The sequence below is a fragment of the Homo sapiens genome, chromosome 14 (assembly GCF_000001405.40).
Source record: "Homo sapiens chromosome 14, GRCh38.p14 Primary Assembly".
NCBI classification, from domain to species: Eukaryota; Metazoa; Chordata; class Mammalia; order Primates; family Hominidae; genus Homo; species Homo sapiens.
Genome location: NC_000014.9, coordinates 70,858,608 through 70,879,479, shown reverse-complemented (window position 1 = coordinate 70,879,479; position 20,872 = coordinate 70,858,608). Strand labels below are relative to the sequence as shown.

Here is a 20,872-nt window from a genome sequence, read left to right as displayed (position 1 = left end):
AGTCTGTTTGTGTTTTGGGGACTGTTGGATTCAAGAATCTTTCTTTACTCAATTAAACTGTGTTAAATTTAATTTGCCTAAAGCTTTTCTTTTAACCAATGGCATCAGAAGCAGGATCCAAAGTAGAAAATTAGCTGGGTGTGGGAGCACGTGTCTGTAGTCCTAGCTACTAGGGAGGCTGAGGTGGGAGGATCACCTGAGCCCAGGAGTTCGAGGCTATAGTGAGCCGTGATTACACCACTGCACTCCAGCCTGGGCAACAGAATGAGACCCTGTCTCAAAACAAGAAATAAACAAACAAAAAAACCCCAAAAATGCCCACAAAGTAGAGCTTCTAATGACCCCCAGGAGGATGGAGCGACCAAGCAAGGTGCCTGCTGGGCCCACTGTGTCCACTGCTCTCTTGCAGCAACTGGGGATCCTGGACAAATTCGCTCTTAGATTCTGAAGTGCCACAAATTTGTGTTTTGAGCTATCTGAGTTTGAGCAAATTTTTTAACTGGATTCGGTTCAGAAGTCACAACAAAAACTGGACTCAGTCCAGAAGTCACAACAAAAACTGGACTCGGTCCAGGATCGAATCAGATTCGATAATTAAGTGGATTGGATCAAGTTAGAGGCCTCAGCTGTCTCGCTGGGTCAGGCGGAAACGGGTGGTAAATGGCAATTAGTGCAGGGGGTGCGAACTCCAGCTTTTGGGAATTTGCAGAGATTTTGTGTTCTATCTCCTTTGTTCCTTTTTCTTACACACTTGGGTAGGGAAAAATCATTGGCTGACTTGGCCAAGAGGATCTTAGAGCCAAAGCCAGGAATCAACATAAAAATGAGATCCTTAATTTTTGAAGAACTGAGTCCTCCACTTTCCCAGTATGCCTGCCTTTATGTATAGTATATAAGTATTAGGCACCGGAAGCAGCAAATGCTTACAAAAATGGAGAAATCTTACTAAAGATGATTTAAAATTATGGTGGAACATTCAAATGAACAACATTGTACTTTAAGAAGTGCATTTAAAAATGGGGGCTCCTGAATTAGGTTCACCAGGGATGCCTATTGATGTGCAGAAGCTTCTAAAAAAAATTTCAAAATTTGTATTGCCTCTTTTTTTAAAATTTTTTTATTTTTTTTATTTTTTTTGAGACAGAGTCTCCCTCTGTTGCCCAGGCCGGAGCGCAGTGGCGCCATCTCGGCTCACTGCAAGCTCCGCCTCCCGGGTTCACGCCATTCTCCTGCCTCAGCCTCCCGAGTAGCTGGGACTACAGGCGCCTGCCACCACGCCCGGCTAATTTTTTGTATTTTTGGTAGAGACGGGGTTTCTTCACCGTGTTAGCCAGAATGGTCTTGATCTCCTGACCTCGTGATCTGCCCGCCTCGGCCTCCCAAAGTGCTGGGATTACAGGCGTGAGCCACCGCGCCGGCCTTATTGCCTCTTTTAAAGGCTCTTTACAAAAGACAAATAAAGATTTTAAATGACTAATTGATAAGGGAAATAGAATCTGCTAACATTTTGGCTTAGTTACTATCCTGCCCCAAGGTGGAAAGAAAGCCGAATAAAGTGCTTATAAAAGGTAGGCCCTCAGGTAAAGTAGGCTTGTTTCTCTTTTTCAAAGCTATCCATGCTGAGTCCAGGCATAGAGAACGCTTTCTCTGTCCTCTTCATTAATGGGCTCCACTATATTTATTTATTTATTTTTTATTTTTATTTATTATTATTATTATACTTTAAGTTCTAGGGTACATGTGCACAATGTGCAGGTTTGTTACATATGTATACATGTGCCATGTTGGTGTGCTGCACCCATTAACTTGTCATTTACATTAGGTATATCTCCTAATGCTATCCCTCCCCCCTACCCCCACGCCACAACAGGCCCCGGTGTGTGATGTTCCCCTTCCTGTGTCCAAGTGTTCTCATTGTTCAATTCCCACCTATGAGTGAGAACATGTGGTGTTTGTTTTTTTTGTCCTTGCGATAGTTTGCTGAGAATGATGGTTTCCAGCTTCATCCATGTCCCTACAAAGGACATGAACTCATCCTTTTTTATGGCTGCATAGTATTCCATGGTGTACATGTGCCACATTTTCTTAATCCAGTCTATCATTGATGGACATTTGGATTGGTTCCAAGTCTTTGCTATTGTAAATAGTGCTGCAATAAACATACGTGTGTATGTGTCTTTATAGCAGCATGATTTATAATCCTTTGGGTATATACCCAGTAATGGGATGGCTGGGTCAAATGGTATTTCTAGTTCTAGATCCTTGAGGAATCGCCACACTGTCTTCCACAATGGTTGAACTAGTTTACAGTCCCACCAACAGTGTAAAAGTGTTCCTATTTCTCCACATCCTCTCCAGCACCTGTTGTTTCCTGACTTTTTAATGATTGCCATTCTAACTGGTGTGAGCTCCACTTTAAACTCAGTAATTTAGCTAAGAAACAGAAGCTAGGCCAGGCGCCGTGGCTCATGCCTGTAATCCCAGCACTTTGGGAGGCCGAGGTGGGCAAATCACGAGGTCAGGAGATGGAGACCATTCTGGCCAACATGGTGAAACTCTGTCTCTACTAAAATACAAAAAAATTTGCCCGGCATGGTGGCATGTGCCTGTAGTCCCAGCTACTTGGGAGGCTGAGGCAGGGAAATTGCTTGAACCCAGGAGGCAGAGGTTGCACTGAGCCGAGATCGCACCACTGCACTCCAGCCTGGCAACAGAGCAAGACTCTGTCTCAAAAAAAGAGAAAAGAAACAGAAGCTAAGTTAAAAAGACTACCTATTGAACTAAATCAGTCTTTGCAATATACCTTTCTGGCATTTAGCTGGCTATTTTGAAACGCTTTTATTAAAGAAAATTACATCTGTGAAAGAAATCTCTATTTGTAAGGGTGTCTACCTCTGTGCAACACAAAGAGACAGAGGGCTAAGCCCCTGGAAACTCTTTAAATTGAAAAGGCATTGATTTAAATTTATATAACAAGCCTTATCATTTAAGATGCTTTTCCTGGTCATCTTGTCTTAACTGGACCTTTACCTATACCCTCCTTCCTTGGTTTGGGCAAATGGTGGTATTTAGGCCTGAAGTAGGAAATGGTTTGGGGGAAAGATGAATGGGCCCTTAGAAAAATTAATCATGGTTTGTGTGACAAGGTCTGTCTTGGTGTGATGAAACCTTCTCTCCTGTGATAATAGTTAATCTTCCCTGGTTTCTGGAACTTCCTAGGGGAGAGTGTCAGAGGCATTTGAACCAGAGCAACTCCATCTGAATAGGGGCTGGGTAAAATGAGGTCTTGAATAGGGGCTGGGTAAAATGAGGCTGAAACCTACTGGGCTGCATTCCCAGACAGTTAAGGCATTCTAAGTCACAGGATGAGATAGGAGGTCGGCACAAGGTACAACTCATAAAGATCTTGCTGATAAAACAGGTTACAGTAAAGAAGCCGGCCAAAACCCACCAAAATCGAGATGGTGATGAGAGTGACGTCTGGTTGTCCTCACTGCTACACTCCCACCAGCGCCATGACGGTTTAAAAATGCCATGGCAACATCAGGAAGTTACCCTATATGGTCTAAAAAGGGGAGGCATGAATAATCCACCCCTTGTTTAGCATATAAACAAGAAATAACCATAAAACCATGCATTTCTATGGAATAGCCATTCTTTTGTTCCTTTGTTTCCCTAATAAACTTGCTTTCACCTTATTGACTTGCCCTGAATTCTTTCTTGCACGAGATCCAAGAACCCTCTTTTGGGGTCTGGATCAGGACCCCTTTCCTGTAACAACAGGATTGATGGCATTTGGATTCCTTTGGAAAATCTGTCTTTAGACAAACAAGGAGAATTTTTAAAGCCTTGCTCTGAGTACCTGTTAGCAGCAATAGTATACAAAAGCAACATATTTTGGGGTCATATCTTCCGAACTTCTGAAACCGCCTTTGCCAAAATCATACCTGAGGAAATTATGACAGTGAAAGAGATCAGACCTAACTGACTCCATCTTGCTTTCAACCTTTAAGTTGTCCTTGTTCATTCCTGGGCGTAGGCTGAACTAACCTTCAGAAGGAATTTAGTTTATAGTTTAACTCTGAAACAAAATTGATAATAGCCCTTTTCCAAAAAAAAAAAAAAAAAAACCCTTCTTGTCTGGGGACCGGTCTGCCTTTATAGGACTAACAAATTAGCTACAAGATTAGAAATTGTGGTTTAGTGACCACACAGCCTCCAGCTGCAAGATTCTTAACCTCCCAAAATTGCTCCTGGGGAAAATATAACTATTGGAAAACCTAAGATCAATGCTTGAGATATTTTGCAGACCCTGCACTCCATGGATCAACTGACTCCACCCAGACTGGTAATCTGGTTCCACCAATTCTATGATCCCATCCAGGAACAGAAGACAACAAGCAAGAAAACTCACTTGACTCCTCTATGATTCCATCTCCAACCTGACCAATCAGCACTCCCTACTTCCCGAGCCCCTACCCGCCAAATTATTTTTAAAAACTCTGATTCCCAAATGCTCGAGGAGACTGATTTGAGTAATAATAAAACTCCATCTCCCGCACAGCCGGCTCTACATGAATTACTCTTTCTCCATTCTAATTCCCCTGTCTTGATAAATTAGCTCTGTCTAGGCAGCTGGCAATGTGAACCTGTTGAGCAGTTATACTTCTTCAATGGCTAGTTTTGTTTAATAAGTAATTCAAGCATAATTGTAAAGAATGAGTAAATAAGGTGAATGTAAATGGCATCAAAATTTATAAATAAATTTATCATAGTTTCCAAAATCTTTTTCAGCAACTTCAAATTTTAAAATCATGTTAAATTAAGTAATTGAAAATTACTTTATTTTCAATTCATTTTAAATTCAATAAAATACTGAAACATTAATTATTAAGCATAGCTTTAGTTTATATACTTCAACATCTTGTTTTTAATACAGTATATAGAAGTTAAATATATTTGGATCTATTAAGAAACATAAAAATCTGGCTGGGCGTGGTGGCTCATGCCTGTAATCCCAGCACTTTGGGAGGCCAAGGCGGGCAGATCACCTGAGGTCAGGAGTTTGAGACCAACCTGGCCAACATGGCGAAACGCCATCTCTACTAAAAATACAAAAATTAGGCGGGCATGGTGGTGTGCGCCTGCAATTCCAGCTACTTGGGAGGCGGAGACAGGAGAATTGCTTGAACCCAGGAGGCAGAAGTTGCAGTGAGCTGAGATCATGCCACCGCACTCCAGCCTGGATGACAGAGCAAGACTCTATCTCAAAATAAATAAATGGATAAATAAATAAGAAGAAACATAAAAAATTGAGGAAACATTTCTTTCTAAAAATTAGGAAATGGCTTTCATCTACAAATACTGATATAAAACAGTTTAAAATGGATTACTTCCTTGATTGTTCACTGGAAATTAATGTTACTAAGAGTTAAAATTATGATTAATGTATATAATTAAAATATGGTACATATATGTTTACTATATGTGAAATGGGTGGAGTTCCCTTATCACCTTCACAGGGTATGTGACAGGGGTGTGGCTTGCCTCTTCAGGGCCCTACTTCTCAAACCCTAGGGGAGCATGCAGACGGGTGGGTCATGGAGAGCATTTTTGGGCTCTGACCCACAGCAGAGTCTAGGGTTGAGGGTTTGCAGCTCCCGAAGCCCCAGCGGGAGTGTGTTACAGTATATTCTTTCAGCTTTGCCATCTGCTGGTGGCTTGTGTTAATCAGCTCAATTAGACCCTTTGCCCTATCACAAGGACAAAGGGTTTCTGTAGCCTGGGTTCTTGCTCTAGTGTACTGGAAAAATCGGATCACATGTGGACTTGGAGAATGAGTGCAAGGTTTTATTGAGTGGTGGAAGTAGCTCTCAGTGAGATGGATGGGGAGCAAGAAAAAGGATGGAGTGGGAAAGTGGTCTTCCCTGGACTTGGGCCATCCAGCAGCTAGACTTTCCTCCAACCACCCTGGCCGAATTCCTCTTGGTGTCATGTCGTTCTGCCTTCAATGGCCTGCTGGTGTCTGCTGGTGTCTGTCTTCTGCTTCTCTCAATGTCCAGCTGCTTGTGTGTGTGCCCGCTGGGGTCTCAGGTTTTTATGGGCACAGGATGTGGGGGGTGTGGTGGCCCAAAAGGCAACATTTTGGGTGTGAAAACAGAAACATCTGTCCTCATTTAGGTCCGTGGGCACAGGCTCGAGGATGGAGCCCTCATCAGGGACCCCCCCCTTCTCTACCCAGCACTTCCCTGCCCCCCTTCCCATAGCATATGCCTATATACAATACATATTATATATAACATACATAATATATACATATAGTACATATGGGTACTATATGTATGTGCTATACAGAATATATAGTACATTTATAGTATATATATGGACAGAAATATACTATACATATAATATAGCATGTATGTAGTGTAGTATGAACTATACTGAATATATGTACTATACATATATTCTATAGTACATATATTCTGTATTGTACATATATATGTATTGCATGTATGTACTATACAGAATTATTTCTTTTGTTTTTAGTTACATATATGTAATATGTACTACTGATGAAGGCAGGAGACAAATTCCTAGGCAGATAGGGAAGAGTCCCTAGGCTAAAACCTCACTTTCAAGCCTAAAATAGCCTGAAGGCTGAAAGACTGGAGTGCTGGTCTAGGATGAAACCTGTGACCCAGAGGGAGAACTTCTGCCCCTGTTTGCCCACGCTTTCCCAATTGATTCTTTCTGAATAATGCCTTTTAACCCATTGAATGCTGCCTTTTCTGATACTACCTATGGCTTGCCTGGGCATGCCTACGTGTGCACTGGGGGACTGGGGGGCCACAAGCAATTCATGCCTTATTCAGGGGAGGAGCCTGGCCTCATAAGCTCATGTGCGGTGGCCCTGGTTTTCAATTGTGAGGGAGAAACCTGCTTGGAGATCCCCTCTCTTTGCTGAGAGCTTTCCTTTCACTTAATAAATTCTTCCCTCCTCACCCTTCAATATGACCACGTGCCTAATTTTTCCTGGTCATGAGACAAGAACTCTGATTTAGCTGAACTAGGGAGCAAAAATTCTGCATCATTTTGGCCTATACGGGGGTTTGTCAGAAGGGTGAGTAAAACGCTGCCCCAAAAATATCTTTCACTTTCGTTTCTGAGCTTTCTCATCTTCAGACTTCTTCTGAAGGCAGGGAAAACTGCCCCCTCCCTGTCACTTTCAGGGGTTGGGAATGTCAGCCTTGGTCCAATACAGTCTTTTCTGTGGCATTTTCCTTCTTTTTTTCAGAATTAAAATAGCACCTATCTTTTCTTTTATAATATTGGGGGTGTTCCACCCCCACTCCAATGGCCACAGGCATGTTCTTGTGACAGACAGGCGAGCAGCAGCTCCCCACCACCTCTTTCCCTCCTAGCTGGGGCACGTGGCCATGTCTGCTGCATACACATGCTGTGTTCAGTGGCCATGCAGTGCAGGACTGAGCCACAGCCACTTCCCAGGCCCCAGGGCAGTCTTGGGGGCCCAAGGCCCTTCATGGCTAGCTGGCCATGTTTCCCACCACGTGCCCACGGAGTCTTCCCCTCCCCCAGCTGAGGGGTCCAGCTTGTTCTGAGCCTGAGGGAAGAAACAGGAATTAAAAATTTCTTTCCCTGTTGGAGAAACTCATTTGCATCAGAATAAGAGGTTTCTTCCTCAACAATCTTCTCCAGCTCTACCCTTAAGCTGTTCTTTTTCCTTTTCTCCATCAGGTCGGGAGTTAATGGGTTGGTTTGAAGGTAGTTGAGGTTTTTGCCATTACTTAGCATGGCGGTGACCACAATTGCTTTTGCACCAACCTAATAACACAGCCGTGCAATACAGGGGGCTTCTCCATGCCAGAGTTTTTTTTTTTCTTGAAAGGCGTTTTAATAGGCCAGGACCCCAATTCACAAGACACTCTTTTCTATCCCTTGTTGGAGGAGGACCCAATTCCACAGCTTCACCCATGACTTAATGAATCCATGAACCCCACTGAGACACATTCTTGTCCCAAACTCAATTCCAAACTTTGGGTTGAAACTCTAGGAAAGAAAACTGGATCTGAGGCAGATGACAATGGAAGTTAAGAGACATAGCACAGGTAAGCATGACTAATTCCTGCCAATTAAGCCAAGCCTCCCATTTCATGGATAGTGGTCATGCTAGTATCTATGGCATGCATGAGGTCTAGGGAACTTGAAAGCTACTGACAGCAAGGGGAAAGGCAGTGTGTGGGTAAGGGTGGATAATCCTACCCTCTAACCCACCTGTTAACATGGGTGAAAAGGCACATTGACACCCATGGGCAGCACCCTGTCATTGTCTTCAGGACTCCGGGATACAAGGAAAGAAGGAAGAAAAGGGATGCCTCTCTTGCCTCTCCCTCACATACCCTGGGTATTTGCTGGGAAGAGAAGGGAACTAGGCATGCCTTGCTCCCCTCTTTCTAGATGAGTAGCCATTCATCTTCAGTCTTTACCCCTTTCAAAAGTACATCCTGAACCCTTGGGACTCCTTTGAAAAAAAATGCCTTTTTTATTACCTTTTTCCACCTCTGTCCTCTCTTCACAGATGGGTAATTGTGTCCCTGTGCTACAGCACACTCCCCTTGGATGCATCCTCCAAACTGGGAAAAATTAATATCCCCTACCTTAAACTGGTTGCCTTAGAATTGAACTCAGAGGAAGGGAACCTAGAAGGATGACATGCTGGAAAAAGGGCAAAAGTTTCATCATTCAGATGTTGGCCTCTCTCTACCTGTACAAACTGGTAAAAGGAATGATAAGGATCACTGTTTATATTCTCTGTAAAGTTTTGATTAATGAAAAAGGATTTGTGAAGTTAGTCTTAAGCTGTAGCCAATCTGATGTGATTTGCATGTCTTTCTGTGTGATTCTGTCAGGAAGAGGGGTACCATATGATAGGATGTAGGCCTAGGACCCCATAAGCCTGCTGTTCAAGTCAGCCTGGCAAACTGGTCAGTAACAAACTTTGCTGCAGGCCTCCATCTTGTTTTACATCCTTGGGAGTGTGACCTGTAACCACGTGGCAGTACTTTCTTTTAGTCTCCGCCATTTTACAATGGCAACCTGGGTTCAATCCTGGCTTGAGAAATGAGTACTTTTGGGTTGATATCTGTGTGTAACTTTTGCCATTTGCTGATTCTCTTCCTTTCCATGAACAACTTCCAGCTTCCTTTCTTAAATCTTTCTTTCTCTGAATTACCTTTAAAGGTCCTAGATTTTGTAAAAACTGCTTACTACCCCTTCGAAAATACTTCATACATTTGTGGTTAAGTCATAACCTTAATTGAAGCTTGTTGGTTTCACCTGTGAGTTACTTTTGGTAAAGTTCAAATGCCAAAAATATTGGCAGCTTGGCACGGCTAAAGTCAGCTTACAAGGAATTTAAAAGGACTTTCTTTTTATTTTTTTTCTTTTTCTTTTTCTTTTTTTTTTTTTTTTGAGACAGAGTCTCGCTCTGTTGCCCAGGTTGGAGTGCAGTGGTGCAATCTCTGCTCACTGCAAGCTCTGCCTCCCAGGTTCACGCCATTCTCCTGCCTCAGCCTCCCGAGCAGCTGGGACTACAGGTGCCTGCCACTGCGCCCGGCTAATTTTGTTTTGTATTTTTAATAGAGACAGGGTTTCACCGTGTTAGCCAGGATGGTCTCGATCTCCTGACCTCGTGATCCACCTGCCTCGGCCTCCCAAAGTGTTGGGATTACAGGCATGAGCCACTGCGCCTGGCCAAGGACTTTCTTAAGGAATGCTCTACTTAATTAAAAGTGGATATCCAAGTTATAGGTATATTTAAAAGACCTTTATGTTCTCTCTTCTTGGATCTTGTTTTGCTGGAAAAAGATTTTTTTCTCAGTCGACTGAATTACTGTTCTCCCCATGTCTTGCAATTCTTAATGCATGCATGAGAGGCCCTAAGATAACTTCTGATGACCTGAGACTCCTTGAGAAAAACAGAAAAAGTGCCACAGATTCCATTTTGGGAGAAACATCTCTTTCCTTTATGGAACCCCAAGAATTAGAAATGGATCAATCTGTATCAAAATTTATTTTTTGTCTTCCAGCTATACCTCTGTATTGGGCCCTGTTTCTTAAAAGTCTCCACCCTGAGACCAATAATCCAATTAAAAAACTGGCAAATGAAAAATCTTACAAATACTGGATCTTCTTTTGTCTGTCTGTGTAGTTATATATGTATTATGTGTGTGATGTTTATATAAAAAAGCTCTAATTAATTGGACCAAAGAAAAAATAAGCACTTAGATTGAATATTTTTGAAGGAAAATTAAAAGCTATAATATTTTTTAGTTCATGTGAGTTTAATCTTTGAGAAATAAAAACAGTAAGTATTATTGGTAAAAAAATGCAAATATTGTTTGTTTTTTTGTTTTTTTTTAAGATGGAGTCTCTCTTTGTCTCCAGGCTGGAATGCAGTGGCACAATCTTGGCTCACTGAAACCTCCGCCTCCCAAGTTCAAGGGATTCCCTGCCTCAGCCTCCCAAGTATCTGGGACTATAGGCACACTGCCACCATGCCCAGCTAATTTTTTGTATTTTAGTAGAGATGAGGTTTCACCATGTTGGCCAGGATGGTCTCAATCTCCTGACCTCGTGATCCACCCACCTCGGCCTCCCAAAGTGCTGGGATTACAGGCATGAGCCACCGCACCTGGCCAAAAATGCAAATATTGTTAAAATGTAAATAGGTGGTCTAAGTTATGTAGGTCAGATAGTAAGTTTGCTAAACGTTTTAAGGTTATAAACTGCTTCTTTGGCTTTTGAGAACTATTCTGCAACTTGCCTGCTTCACAATTGGTGAGGCCTGGGGATGTATGGAATTAACCACACCCTTAACTATGCTGGAAGGAGTCACACTTCATTGGCACCTAGTGCATAATTAAAACAACTTACCAGATTTTACATTAAAGTTAAAAATTGCTAAGAGTTATCATTATAACATGTAATTGAGACCACTGAAAATGGATTCACCAGCAAGGTGTGTAAGAACAGTAAAATGTGTTTTTAGTAAAAGATTATAAGAAGGCATGGAATGAAAATTTTTGCCTGAGGTTAAAGGATTGTTTTAAATTAGATAAGATAAAGCTAAAGGCTTAAACAAGTTGTGGAAGGTTTCTAAAAACTGATCTTGCAAAAGAAATGCTGTGTGTGAACATAGAATAGAATAAATTCAAAACGGTATTATATGTTTTTTATGTAAATTGAGCATTGAAATAAAAGAACAAGAAGGTTTCCTTAAGGTGCTAATCTGCTCTTTAGCAAAATTTGTAAAGGATTACAAAGTTTTATAAGAATCTCATCTCATGGTCAAACTGGTTAAGATTAGATAGAATTGTCTGTAAGGTTTTCCTAGAAAATTGGGGTTGACATTAAGAGTAAACTAATGTAAGGGTAAAATTTGGCTTTCTCTCCCTTGTACAAGATTTTCATGTAATAACAAAGGGAAATGAAAGATTTTTGTTTGTCTTGTGAATAAACTGCCAAGGAAAAGAAAGAGAAGACAGGAAATAAACTGGAAAGCTAAGTCTTTCCTCTTAATGAGTAAAGGTTTTTGCCTTGTTTTGAAATTTTGAAACATCATTTTGGCAAAATAAATAATTTATGGTAATCTAGAGTTCTGTTTCATAATATCAAGTGCTTTGAACCTCTAACATATTTGAGAGGTTGCCCAAAATCAAATTTCAGTTTCAAAATTATATTTCCTGACCCCCAGATTTTACATGCTACGGAGGGCCCCTATTGCATCCAAAAGAGAGGTAAATAGGATTATTTGACATATTTAAGTATGTGGGATTGCCAAAATGATGCTTCATCTTCATCAGGTTATATTTCAGTGAATAATATTAACGTACATTCCAAAATTGTATGGGATTTCTAAAATTCTAATGTCTGATTATATGCTATCAATCATAATTAAGATTATTACAGTACGTTATTATAAACCACAGATAACCAAATTTCTTTATCAATTGTGTTTTTAACTGTAAGTACCCTGAACATTTTGTTATTCACAGACAACTGTTGTCTTGTTTTGATCCTCTTCAAAAGATGGTTTTAATCAGCTATGGAACTTTGACAGGTGCTCTCAAATGCAGGTTTCTGATAACTTTGGAGATTGTGACATTTGAATGCTGGAAAAACGTATAGGACTCATGAAGAGTTAAAATGTTCATGAATATCAAGCAGAACAAGAGTTAATGGAATGGACTGAACTAATAGAAAGCTGAAGTAATCTTTTATTAACTGTTGCTTAAAACATTGCTGATCCTTGTTTTGTTTTTCAGAGTTAAAGAAACTTTTATTTTGAGCTATTTACAGTCTTTAATAATTGAGTAAGTTATACTCCTGTGAACAAAATTTGGAGCATGTTTGTTTCTCTCTGCCTGGTTCCTCTAGAATTTGGAAACTATCTGTGAGTATTCTTAACTTATAGCAATATGGTTATTTGCATCAGTGCAATAAGAATCCATTTTCTTTTGCTACAGGATGCAATTGGAGAAGCTGGTTGTTTTACCAAGGCTTTGACTGGAAGGGTATGCTTTCCTTTAAGGAATCAAGCTCAACTTGCAGAGCTGATAAAAGCCCCTTGGGAAAACTGGCCTCATACCTTGTCTACACAGTCCCTGTACAGGGTTCCTACCCTGTATGGGGAGTAAAGAATGTCACTTTCTAACAGGCCCAGGAACCCCATGTCCTTGGGACCTCAAGAAGAAAGGAATTTACCCAACTCATAGGTATTTGGGGTACAAACACATGGCTAGGCTCAACTTTAAAAGGTGTTATCTGAGATTCCTTGTGGAACAGAGTTCCTTCAAAGCCAGTTTGAAAAGGCTATGTAAAAATAATTATTTTTGTTGCACTTTATGCAAACAAGCAGGCCAAATATAAGACTAAAGTTTATTTTGCAAACAACTCAGTCCTATCATGATTTGTTTTTAACAAAAATGAGGACTGGAGAGAGAGAAATTATGTCTCAAACCTTATCATACATCTGTCATTAAATTCTAGACCAATTAGTTGTTTTAAAGTTTTTTTGCCTACATTTTAGACTAACCCTGTTTATTCCTGTGAATCAACTAGTGATCTCCTCCTGCAGCTCAGAAGAAAAAAAAGGGATGGATAATGTAAAAATCTGAATCAATATTCCAGTTCTGGGCAATTATCCTGCAAATCCTGCCAGGTGATAGGAGTAAATAGGGTGCCCATAACCTGGAGGTTTCTTTTTGGGAAAATAAGACCAAGAGAGCTAACAAAAGCCAAACCCCATGCACCCAAATCTTAGCAGGTAACTATAGCCACCTGTTTTCTGGACATGCTGGGAGCCTCGGGATTTTTCAGGCTGCCTTTACCCCCCAACCTTTTGTCTCATTTTGATACAAGTCTTCTAATAACCCAGTTTGTCTCTTCTCGTCTTCAGACCATCAAACTCCAAAGTTCATGCAACCAGAGCCGCAGATGATGGCCCATTTTTTACTGGAGATCCTTAGACAAGCTTCTGAGGGAAAACTGACTGCCATCTTCTCAAAACAGCACTCCCTGTCAGCAGGAAGCAGTTAAGATAGATCTTTGGGCCAGGCATGGTGGCTCACACCTGTAATCCCAGCACTTTGGGAGGCCGAGGCGGGCGGATCACAAGGCCAGGGGATCGAGACCTTCCTGGCTAACACAGTGAAACCCCATCTCTACTAAAAAAATACGAAAAATTAGCCAGGTGTGGTGGCGAGCATCTGTAGTCCCAGCTATTCGGGAGGCTGAGGCAGGAGAATGGTGTGAATCCAGGAGGCAGAGCTTGCAGTGAGCCGAGATCGCACCTGCACTTCAGCCTGGGCAACAGAGCGAGATTCCATCTCAAAAAAAAAAAAAAAGACAGGTTGATCTTCATTCCTGTTCTAAGGGCAGTTAGTCGTACCTCTATAGAGGGTGGAATGATTGATAGAAGCAGAAGGCAGACAAATGTCTAGGCAGACAGGGAAGGGCCCCTGGCCTAAAACCTCACCTTCAAGTCTAAAACAGCCTGAAGGCTGAAAGACTGGAGTGCTAGTCCCAGATGAAACCTGTGACCAAGAGGGAGAACTTCTGCCCCTGTTTGCCCACCCCTTCCCAATTGATACTTTCTGAATAATGCCTTTTAACCCATCGAATGCTGCCTTTTCCAATACTACCTATTTCCAATACTACCAGGCTTGCCTGGGCATGTCCACATATACATTGGGGGATGGGGTGGGGCCACCAGGAATTCATGCCTTATTCAGGGGAGGAGCCTGGCCTCATAAGCTCATATGTGGTGGTCCTGGTATTCAATTGTAAGGGAGAAACCTGCTTGGAGAATCCCTCTCTTTGCTGAGAGCTTTCCTTTCACTTAGTAAATTCCTCCCTCCTCACCCTTCAATGTGCTCGCATACCTAATTTTTCCTGGTTGTGAGACAAGAACCTGGATTTAGTTGAACTAAGGAGCAAAAATCCTGCATCACTACATATATGTAATATGTAATATGTATGTACATATGTTGTACATATATTACATATATGTAACTAAAAACAAGAGAAATAATTCTGTATGCAAAGTGTATAAGAAAAGCAAGATATGTTTTTGGTCAGCAAGTTTATAAGAAAGGCATGAAAATGTGGTTTTTGTTAAAAAATGTCATTTTGTCTAGTTAGGTTATTTAAAGGTTGTTTCAAAATGAAGGCAGAAAGAAATAGTATAGAAAAAATGGAATGAATGTTAAAAGTTTTAAAAAAGAAAGAACAATAGTAAAAGAATTTTTTTGTGATTAAACTAGATTAAATGAATTTATTATAAGGATTGAAATTTAGTACTTAGTATTAAAAGTACATCTAATATAAAAGTATAATTTAGTTTTCTCTTTTAAAAAGATTTTCATGTAGTACTGAGATATAGTAAAATATTTTTGTCTTTTTGAGTAAACTTCAAAAGAGAAAGAGAGAGAGAGAAACCAGTTTTGTGTGTCTTATGCTGCCTTTGTTAGGTCTTTGGTAAAATGAGTCTCCTCTCTATCAAAGATCAAAATCAACAGATTTTTGCTTATTAAAATCTTTTTCTTTTTTTTTTTTGAGACAGAGTTTCGCTCCCATCTCCCAGGCTGGAGTGCAACGGCACAATCTCAGCCCACTGCAATCTCTGCCTCCCGGGTTCAAGCGATTCTCCTGCCTCAGCCTCCTGAGTAGCTTAGATTACAGGCATCCGCCACCATGCCTAGCTAATTTTTGTACTTTTAGTAGAGACGAGGTTTCACCATATTGGCCAAGCTGGTCTCGAACTCCTGACCTCAGGCAATCCCACCTGCCTCGGCCTCCCAAAGTGCTGGGATTACACGTTTGAGTCACTGCACCCAGCCAAAATCTTTTTATTATTACTTTGGCTAAATTAGTGACTGTTATTTTACAGTGACTTATGGTCTTTTTTGATCAAGCCTTCTAAACCTTTGACATATTTGACAGGCTTCTCAAAATCAAATTTCAAAATCAAAATTAAGTCTTTTTAACCTCAAACTAACTTTGAGATATTCCAGAGGGCCCTTGAAGCATACCAAAGGAAAATAATAAACAGGCTTATTTGATATGTTAAATTATATAAGAAGTATTATCATGTAAGACGTGGTGTTTAATCTTTTTTGGAGTTACATTTGTATAGATATGTCATTAATATGTCTTCCAAAATTGTACGAGCTTCCTAAAATTCTGATAGGTCCTGGTATGTTATCAGTCATAATTATAATTATTATGTTAAATTATTGTAGGTGACAGAAATAACCAGATTTCCTTGTCAACTGTGTCTTTAACCATGACTATCTTAAGTCTTGTTGTCCACAGTTAATTGTTTAATTCTGATACTTTTTCCTGAATGTTCTTTAAAAGCAATTGTAATCCTAAAGTGTTATATCTTCAAAGAGGTTCATGGAAAAGATGGTGTTTACAGTTTGGATATTTGTCCCCTCCAAATCTCATGTTGAAATTTGATCACCAATTTTGGAAATGGGGCCTAATGAGAGGTGTTTGGGTAAAGGGGGCAGACCCCTTGTGAATGGCTTGGTGCCATTTCTGTGGTAACAAATGAGTTCTTGATCTATTAGTTTACATGACAGCTGATTGTTTAAAAGAGCATGGCATCCTTCCCCTGTCTCTCTCTTTCTTCCTCTCTTGCCATGTGACATGCCAGCTACCCTCCTCCTTCTGCCATGATTGGAAGCTTCTTGGGGTTCTTACTGGGGCAAATGCCAGTGCCATGCTTCTTGTACAGCCTCCAGAACCCTGAGCCAAATAAACCCCTTCCTAAATTACCCAGCCTCAGGTATTCTTTCACAGCAATGCAAAATGGACTGAGAAGGATGGAAAGACTCTGATAAGTACAGGCTTCTGATAGCCTTAAATTCATATCACTAGACTGTGTAAGAATCCCCCAGACCTCTAATGAAAAGATTTACTGGTTTGTAAAACTGCTAAGCGGGACAAGAATTAATTAAATACCAAGAAAGTACAAGTCAGCCAGTACTGAAATTGTTAAGATATGCAATTTAAAGGAACTCCATGATCCAAGTCAAATTACATATGATAGCACATTGCTATCATACTGTAGTAAACAGTGCTATGTACCTGAATTAAAGAAATAAAATTGGTATTTAAAAGGCTATAAATGGCTGGGTGTAGTGGCTCACGCCTGTAATCCCAGCCACTTTGGGAGGCCGAGGCAGCAGATCACCAGAGGTCAGGAGTTCGAGACCAGCCCGGCCAACTTGGTGAAACCCTGTCTCTACCAAAAAATAAAAAAATTAGTTGGGTGTGGTGGCACACACCTGTAATCCCAGTTACTTGGGAGGCTGAGGCAGGAGAACCGCTTGAACTCAGGAAGAAGAGGTTGCAGTGAGCTGAGATCGTGCCACTGTACTCTAGCCTGGGCGACAGAGTGAGACCCTGCCTCAAAAAATAAAATAAAAATAAAAGACTATAAATCCAATTTTAAGCATGGACTCATGGAGAGCCTGGGTGGCTGCCTGGTCCTTCCTGAGTCCTTGATGCTTTCATTTTTAAAAGCTCTGCACTCCATGGCTCATCATGGAAGAGATAAAATAATCCAAATAATGAAAAAAACATACATTGGTGTGGTGACTGTTCTAAAATTGCTGATATGGTTTATGACCAATGTTTGGTTTATCAAATTTATAATCCCGAGAAGACAATCAAAACTTTAGGTATGGGCCATTGGACCTTTATAGTGGTCTTCTTTCTCTTTCTTTTCCTTCCTTCCTTCCTTCCTTCCTTCCTACCTCCCTTCCTCCCTCCCTTCCTCCCTTCCTCCCTCCCTTTCTCCCTCTCTTTCTCTCTCTCTTTCTCTCTTTCTTTCGTCTGTCTTGCTCTGTCATCCAGGTTGAAGTGCAGTGGTCTCAGCTCACTGCAACCTCCGCCTTCCAGGTTCAAATTATTTTCATGCCTCAGCCCTCTGGGTAGCTGGAACTATAGGCGTGTACCACCACACCTGGATAATTTTGGTATTTTTAGTAGAGATGGGGTTTCGTGATGTTGGCCAGGCTGGTCTTGAACTCCTCTTCTCAAGTGATCTGCCCACTGTGGCCTCCCAAAGTGCTGGGATTACAGTCATGAGCCACTGCGCCTGCCCTCAGTTGCCATTTTCAGTGCATGTTTTCTGGTTTAGAAGTTTTCCCATGCAGGAAGCCAATTCTATAACAGTAGCTAAAAGGTTATTAGAAAATGTGTTTTCCTCATGGGGGATTCCTGAAGAGATCTCTAGGGATAAAGGTACTTGTTTCACTGGAGAAGTTGGAAAACAGTTAAATAAAGTATTACAGATTTAATAGCCTTAGGTGAAGCTAACTGAATTGACTGGATTGCCTTGATATTGCAGATTGATAAAAGGTATTGCAGATTAATAAAAGCCAGATGCACTTACAGTGGAGAATGTAAGTTGACCCCCTTATAAAAGGATCCTAAACTCGGATATGACTAAATGTTGCGAGGCTTTGATGCATTATGTCAAAGTGTATTTTCACCAGGTAAAGGAAGCTTTGCAGAATGCACTGACCAAGAGCACTCAAATCCTTCATGATCTAGAACCCAGAGATTTGGTTTTCTGGAAATGGTATCAGAAAAAGACTGCCTTTGCCACTCAATCTGCAGCCAAACTTTGGGACTTTGATACTTGAATCCATATCTCACAAATTAAAAAGGGCCCCCCCAAACTCTTGGAACTGTATACCCATTATAAACTTTAAGGTAAAGCTAACCAGGGAAGTTTCTCCCCAGAAGCAGATGGTATCCTAGACTTAAGCAGCTTCCCCAAGATCACAAATCAAAATTTCTCTGCCATCATGAAACTCTTATTTTTCTTAATCTTTCCTTACGTATGCCTACCTCTTGAACTTGGCAGGATAATGCTGTAATTAGAATTTCACAATGAGTAGCTTTTATGGGTAAATTCATGGAGTGTTGAATCTGTCATGCCAAACCCAGATTTTACATGACCTAAGGGATCCTTTAGTTAACCTGGTGGGTAATGTTAGCAACATTCCTAACATAACTGTTGTTCAAATTGTACTAGTAGTAAGACTTCTAAACCGACTTGCTCTCACTCCCTGTTTTAATTTAATCCAATAATGGGATACAAGAACAATGACCAATGAGTATATCACAAGACAGGTTTGCACCAATGCCCAAATGGAGTTTCTTGCAAACTGACTTATGTGTCAGGATATGATAGCACTCTTTCAACCCGTAATTCTGCCTCAGGCCCTTGGTTTGAAATTGCTAATTTCACCATTCCAGGTAATGTATCCATGAACAACAGAACTGGAAAAGGGGCCTTATGTCTATCCGTGGGGTATACTTTTATTTGTGGAGGATTTTGCAGCCAACTTTACACATGGGCAACCTTATGCCTTTGATGGATTGAGCATGAAGGGCCAATGTTAGATTTATTTTCCATGGCTTGGAGTAAATATAAATGAGGCAATAATTTGAAATGTATTCCTGACTGGGTGTGTTGGCTCACATCTGTAATCCCAACACTTTGGGAGGCTGAGGTGGGAGGATCATTTGAGCCTAGGAGTTTGAGACCAGCCTAGTGAGACCTTGTCTCTACAAAAATATTTTAAAATTTTAGCTGGGCATGGTGGTACATGTCTGTACTCCCAGCCACTTGGGAGACTGAGGTAGGGAGAATTGCTTGAGCCTGGGAGGTTGAGCAAGACCCTGTCTCAAAGAAGGAAAGAAAGAAAGAAAAAGAAAGAAGAAAGAAAGAAAGAAAGAAAGAAAGAAAGAAAGAAAGAAAGAAAGAAAGAAGGAAGGAAGGAAGGAAGGAAGGAAGGAAGGAAGGAAGGAAATTCCTTATAATCATCTCTATAGCAGATTCTATTGCAAAGGCTATGGTTGCATAACAGACTTTAAATTCTCTTGCTAAAGTTGTACTAGATAATAGAATTGCTCTAGATTCCCTACTGGCTGAATAGGGAGAAATCGTGCAGTTGCTGACACGTTTTGCACATGGATGAATATGCTGGGTATTATAGAGACTCATTTGCAGAGGATTAATGAACAGGCCGCTTGGTTAAAATAGGTACACTCTTCATCTGGTTTATTCTTTGATTTATTTGATTTTTGTTTGTTTAGCTCATGGGGACCCTAGCTAAGGGGCATCTGCAAACTGTTGGTATTATCCTCCCGATGACAGTGGTCACCTTGGTGCACTGTATTCTCTCAAAAGTTTTAAATGTTTGCTAACATGCAGCCATTTGTAGAATGTCAAATTGTTACTCTTTGGCTAGAATGACAAAACTCAAAGAAATGCATGATCATGAGGATACCATAACCTATGAATGACATGCTGAGACGAGAAACCGAAATGATGGTAATTGAAAGTGGTGCTCTAAAGCCTTAGATTTTGGTCACACTCTGACCTAGGAGAGAACCCGAGCAAAAGAAGGGAATTGTTAAATAAATGTATTGTTTTGCACTGAGCTCCTGTCACTTGCACGGCTAGTTTTTGGACCAGGTTGTACCGAAGGCATTCCCCTCTGGATGCTTCCTGCCTTTGCACCTGCCACCAGAGTCAGTGGAGAAACTACATTGTCTCCAAGCTTGTGTGATCTGATCTCTGTAGCATATGTATGAGCCATTTGTTGCTCGAGTCTCTGAGAATCCAATCATTCCAGAAAACACTTCCAGTTGGGAACAGACAGGAACCAATTTAAGAATTCAACTTCAAGTTCAAGAAACAGTCCCCTAGGTCACAGAGCAACTGTATGGGGGGATTGCAGCCTCCTTTTCAGCATGAACATGTTCATACCAACACAGACCAGGACTGCTGCCCACTGCAGGTCACCATTCTCCATTTCATTTTTATTCCAATTGCCATGAGAATAATATTTACCCTGTTTACTATCAGTGTGAGCAAGGACAGGCAGCATCATCAAGACTGGTATTCCAAGGTTCTCCTGTTCATAGTGGTGGGAAACTGCACTGGACCCAGTGCACAGCGTTCAACTCTTTGGTGGGATCCTCAGTAGCCATTCTCTCTGAGTCCATAGTTACTGCTTTCCATCCCTTGGGGGCAGCCCTGAGTCTAGTCCAGTAGTAATCAGATTCCAGCTTGGAAGGGGCGGCTGGATTGTGTATCTAGTTAGTAGTGCACATGCTCTTCAAGTTCCTGGGGCTCCCGTTAGAGGACGGAGAAGTGTTGAATCAGGGGGAACAACAACTATGGTTTATAAACATATTTTAATGTAAAAATTTGCATTTGAATGGAGCGGCCCTGTTTTCTGTATCAAAAACCCATTTGGTG

At 41.0% G+C, this 20,872-nt stretch overlaps 1 pseudogene, besides 2 other annotated features; it reads left to right on the top strand.

The window, feature by feature from the left end:
* Positions 6,748 to 6,827: an enhancer, noted in NCBI's record as "active region_8667". NCBI's record gives its function as "activates an Ori minimal core promoter by ATAC-STARR-seq in GM12878 lymphoblastoid cells {active_cell/tissue: GM12878}" and the evidence as "EXISTENCE:reporter gene assay evidence [ECO:0000049][PMID:35858748]".
* Positions 13,750 to 14,949: an enhancer, noted in NCBI's record as "MED14-independent group 3 enhancer chr14:71331248-71332447 (GRCh37/hg19 assembly coordinates)". NCBI's record gives its function as "activates an origin of replication core promoter dependent on BRD2, BRD4, P300/CBP and CDK7 cofactors, and independent of MED14, by STARR-seq in HCT116 cells {active_cell/tissue: HCT116}" and the evidence as "EXISTENCE:reporter gene assay evidence [ECO:0000049][PMID:35650434]".
* Positions 20,055 to 20,609, top strand: TMEM183AP4 (TMEM183A pseudogene 4; annotated as a pseudogene).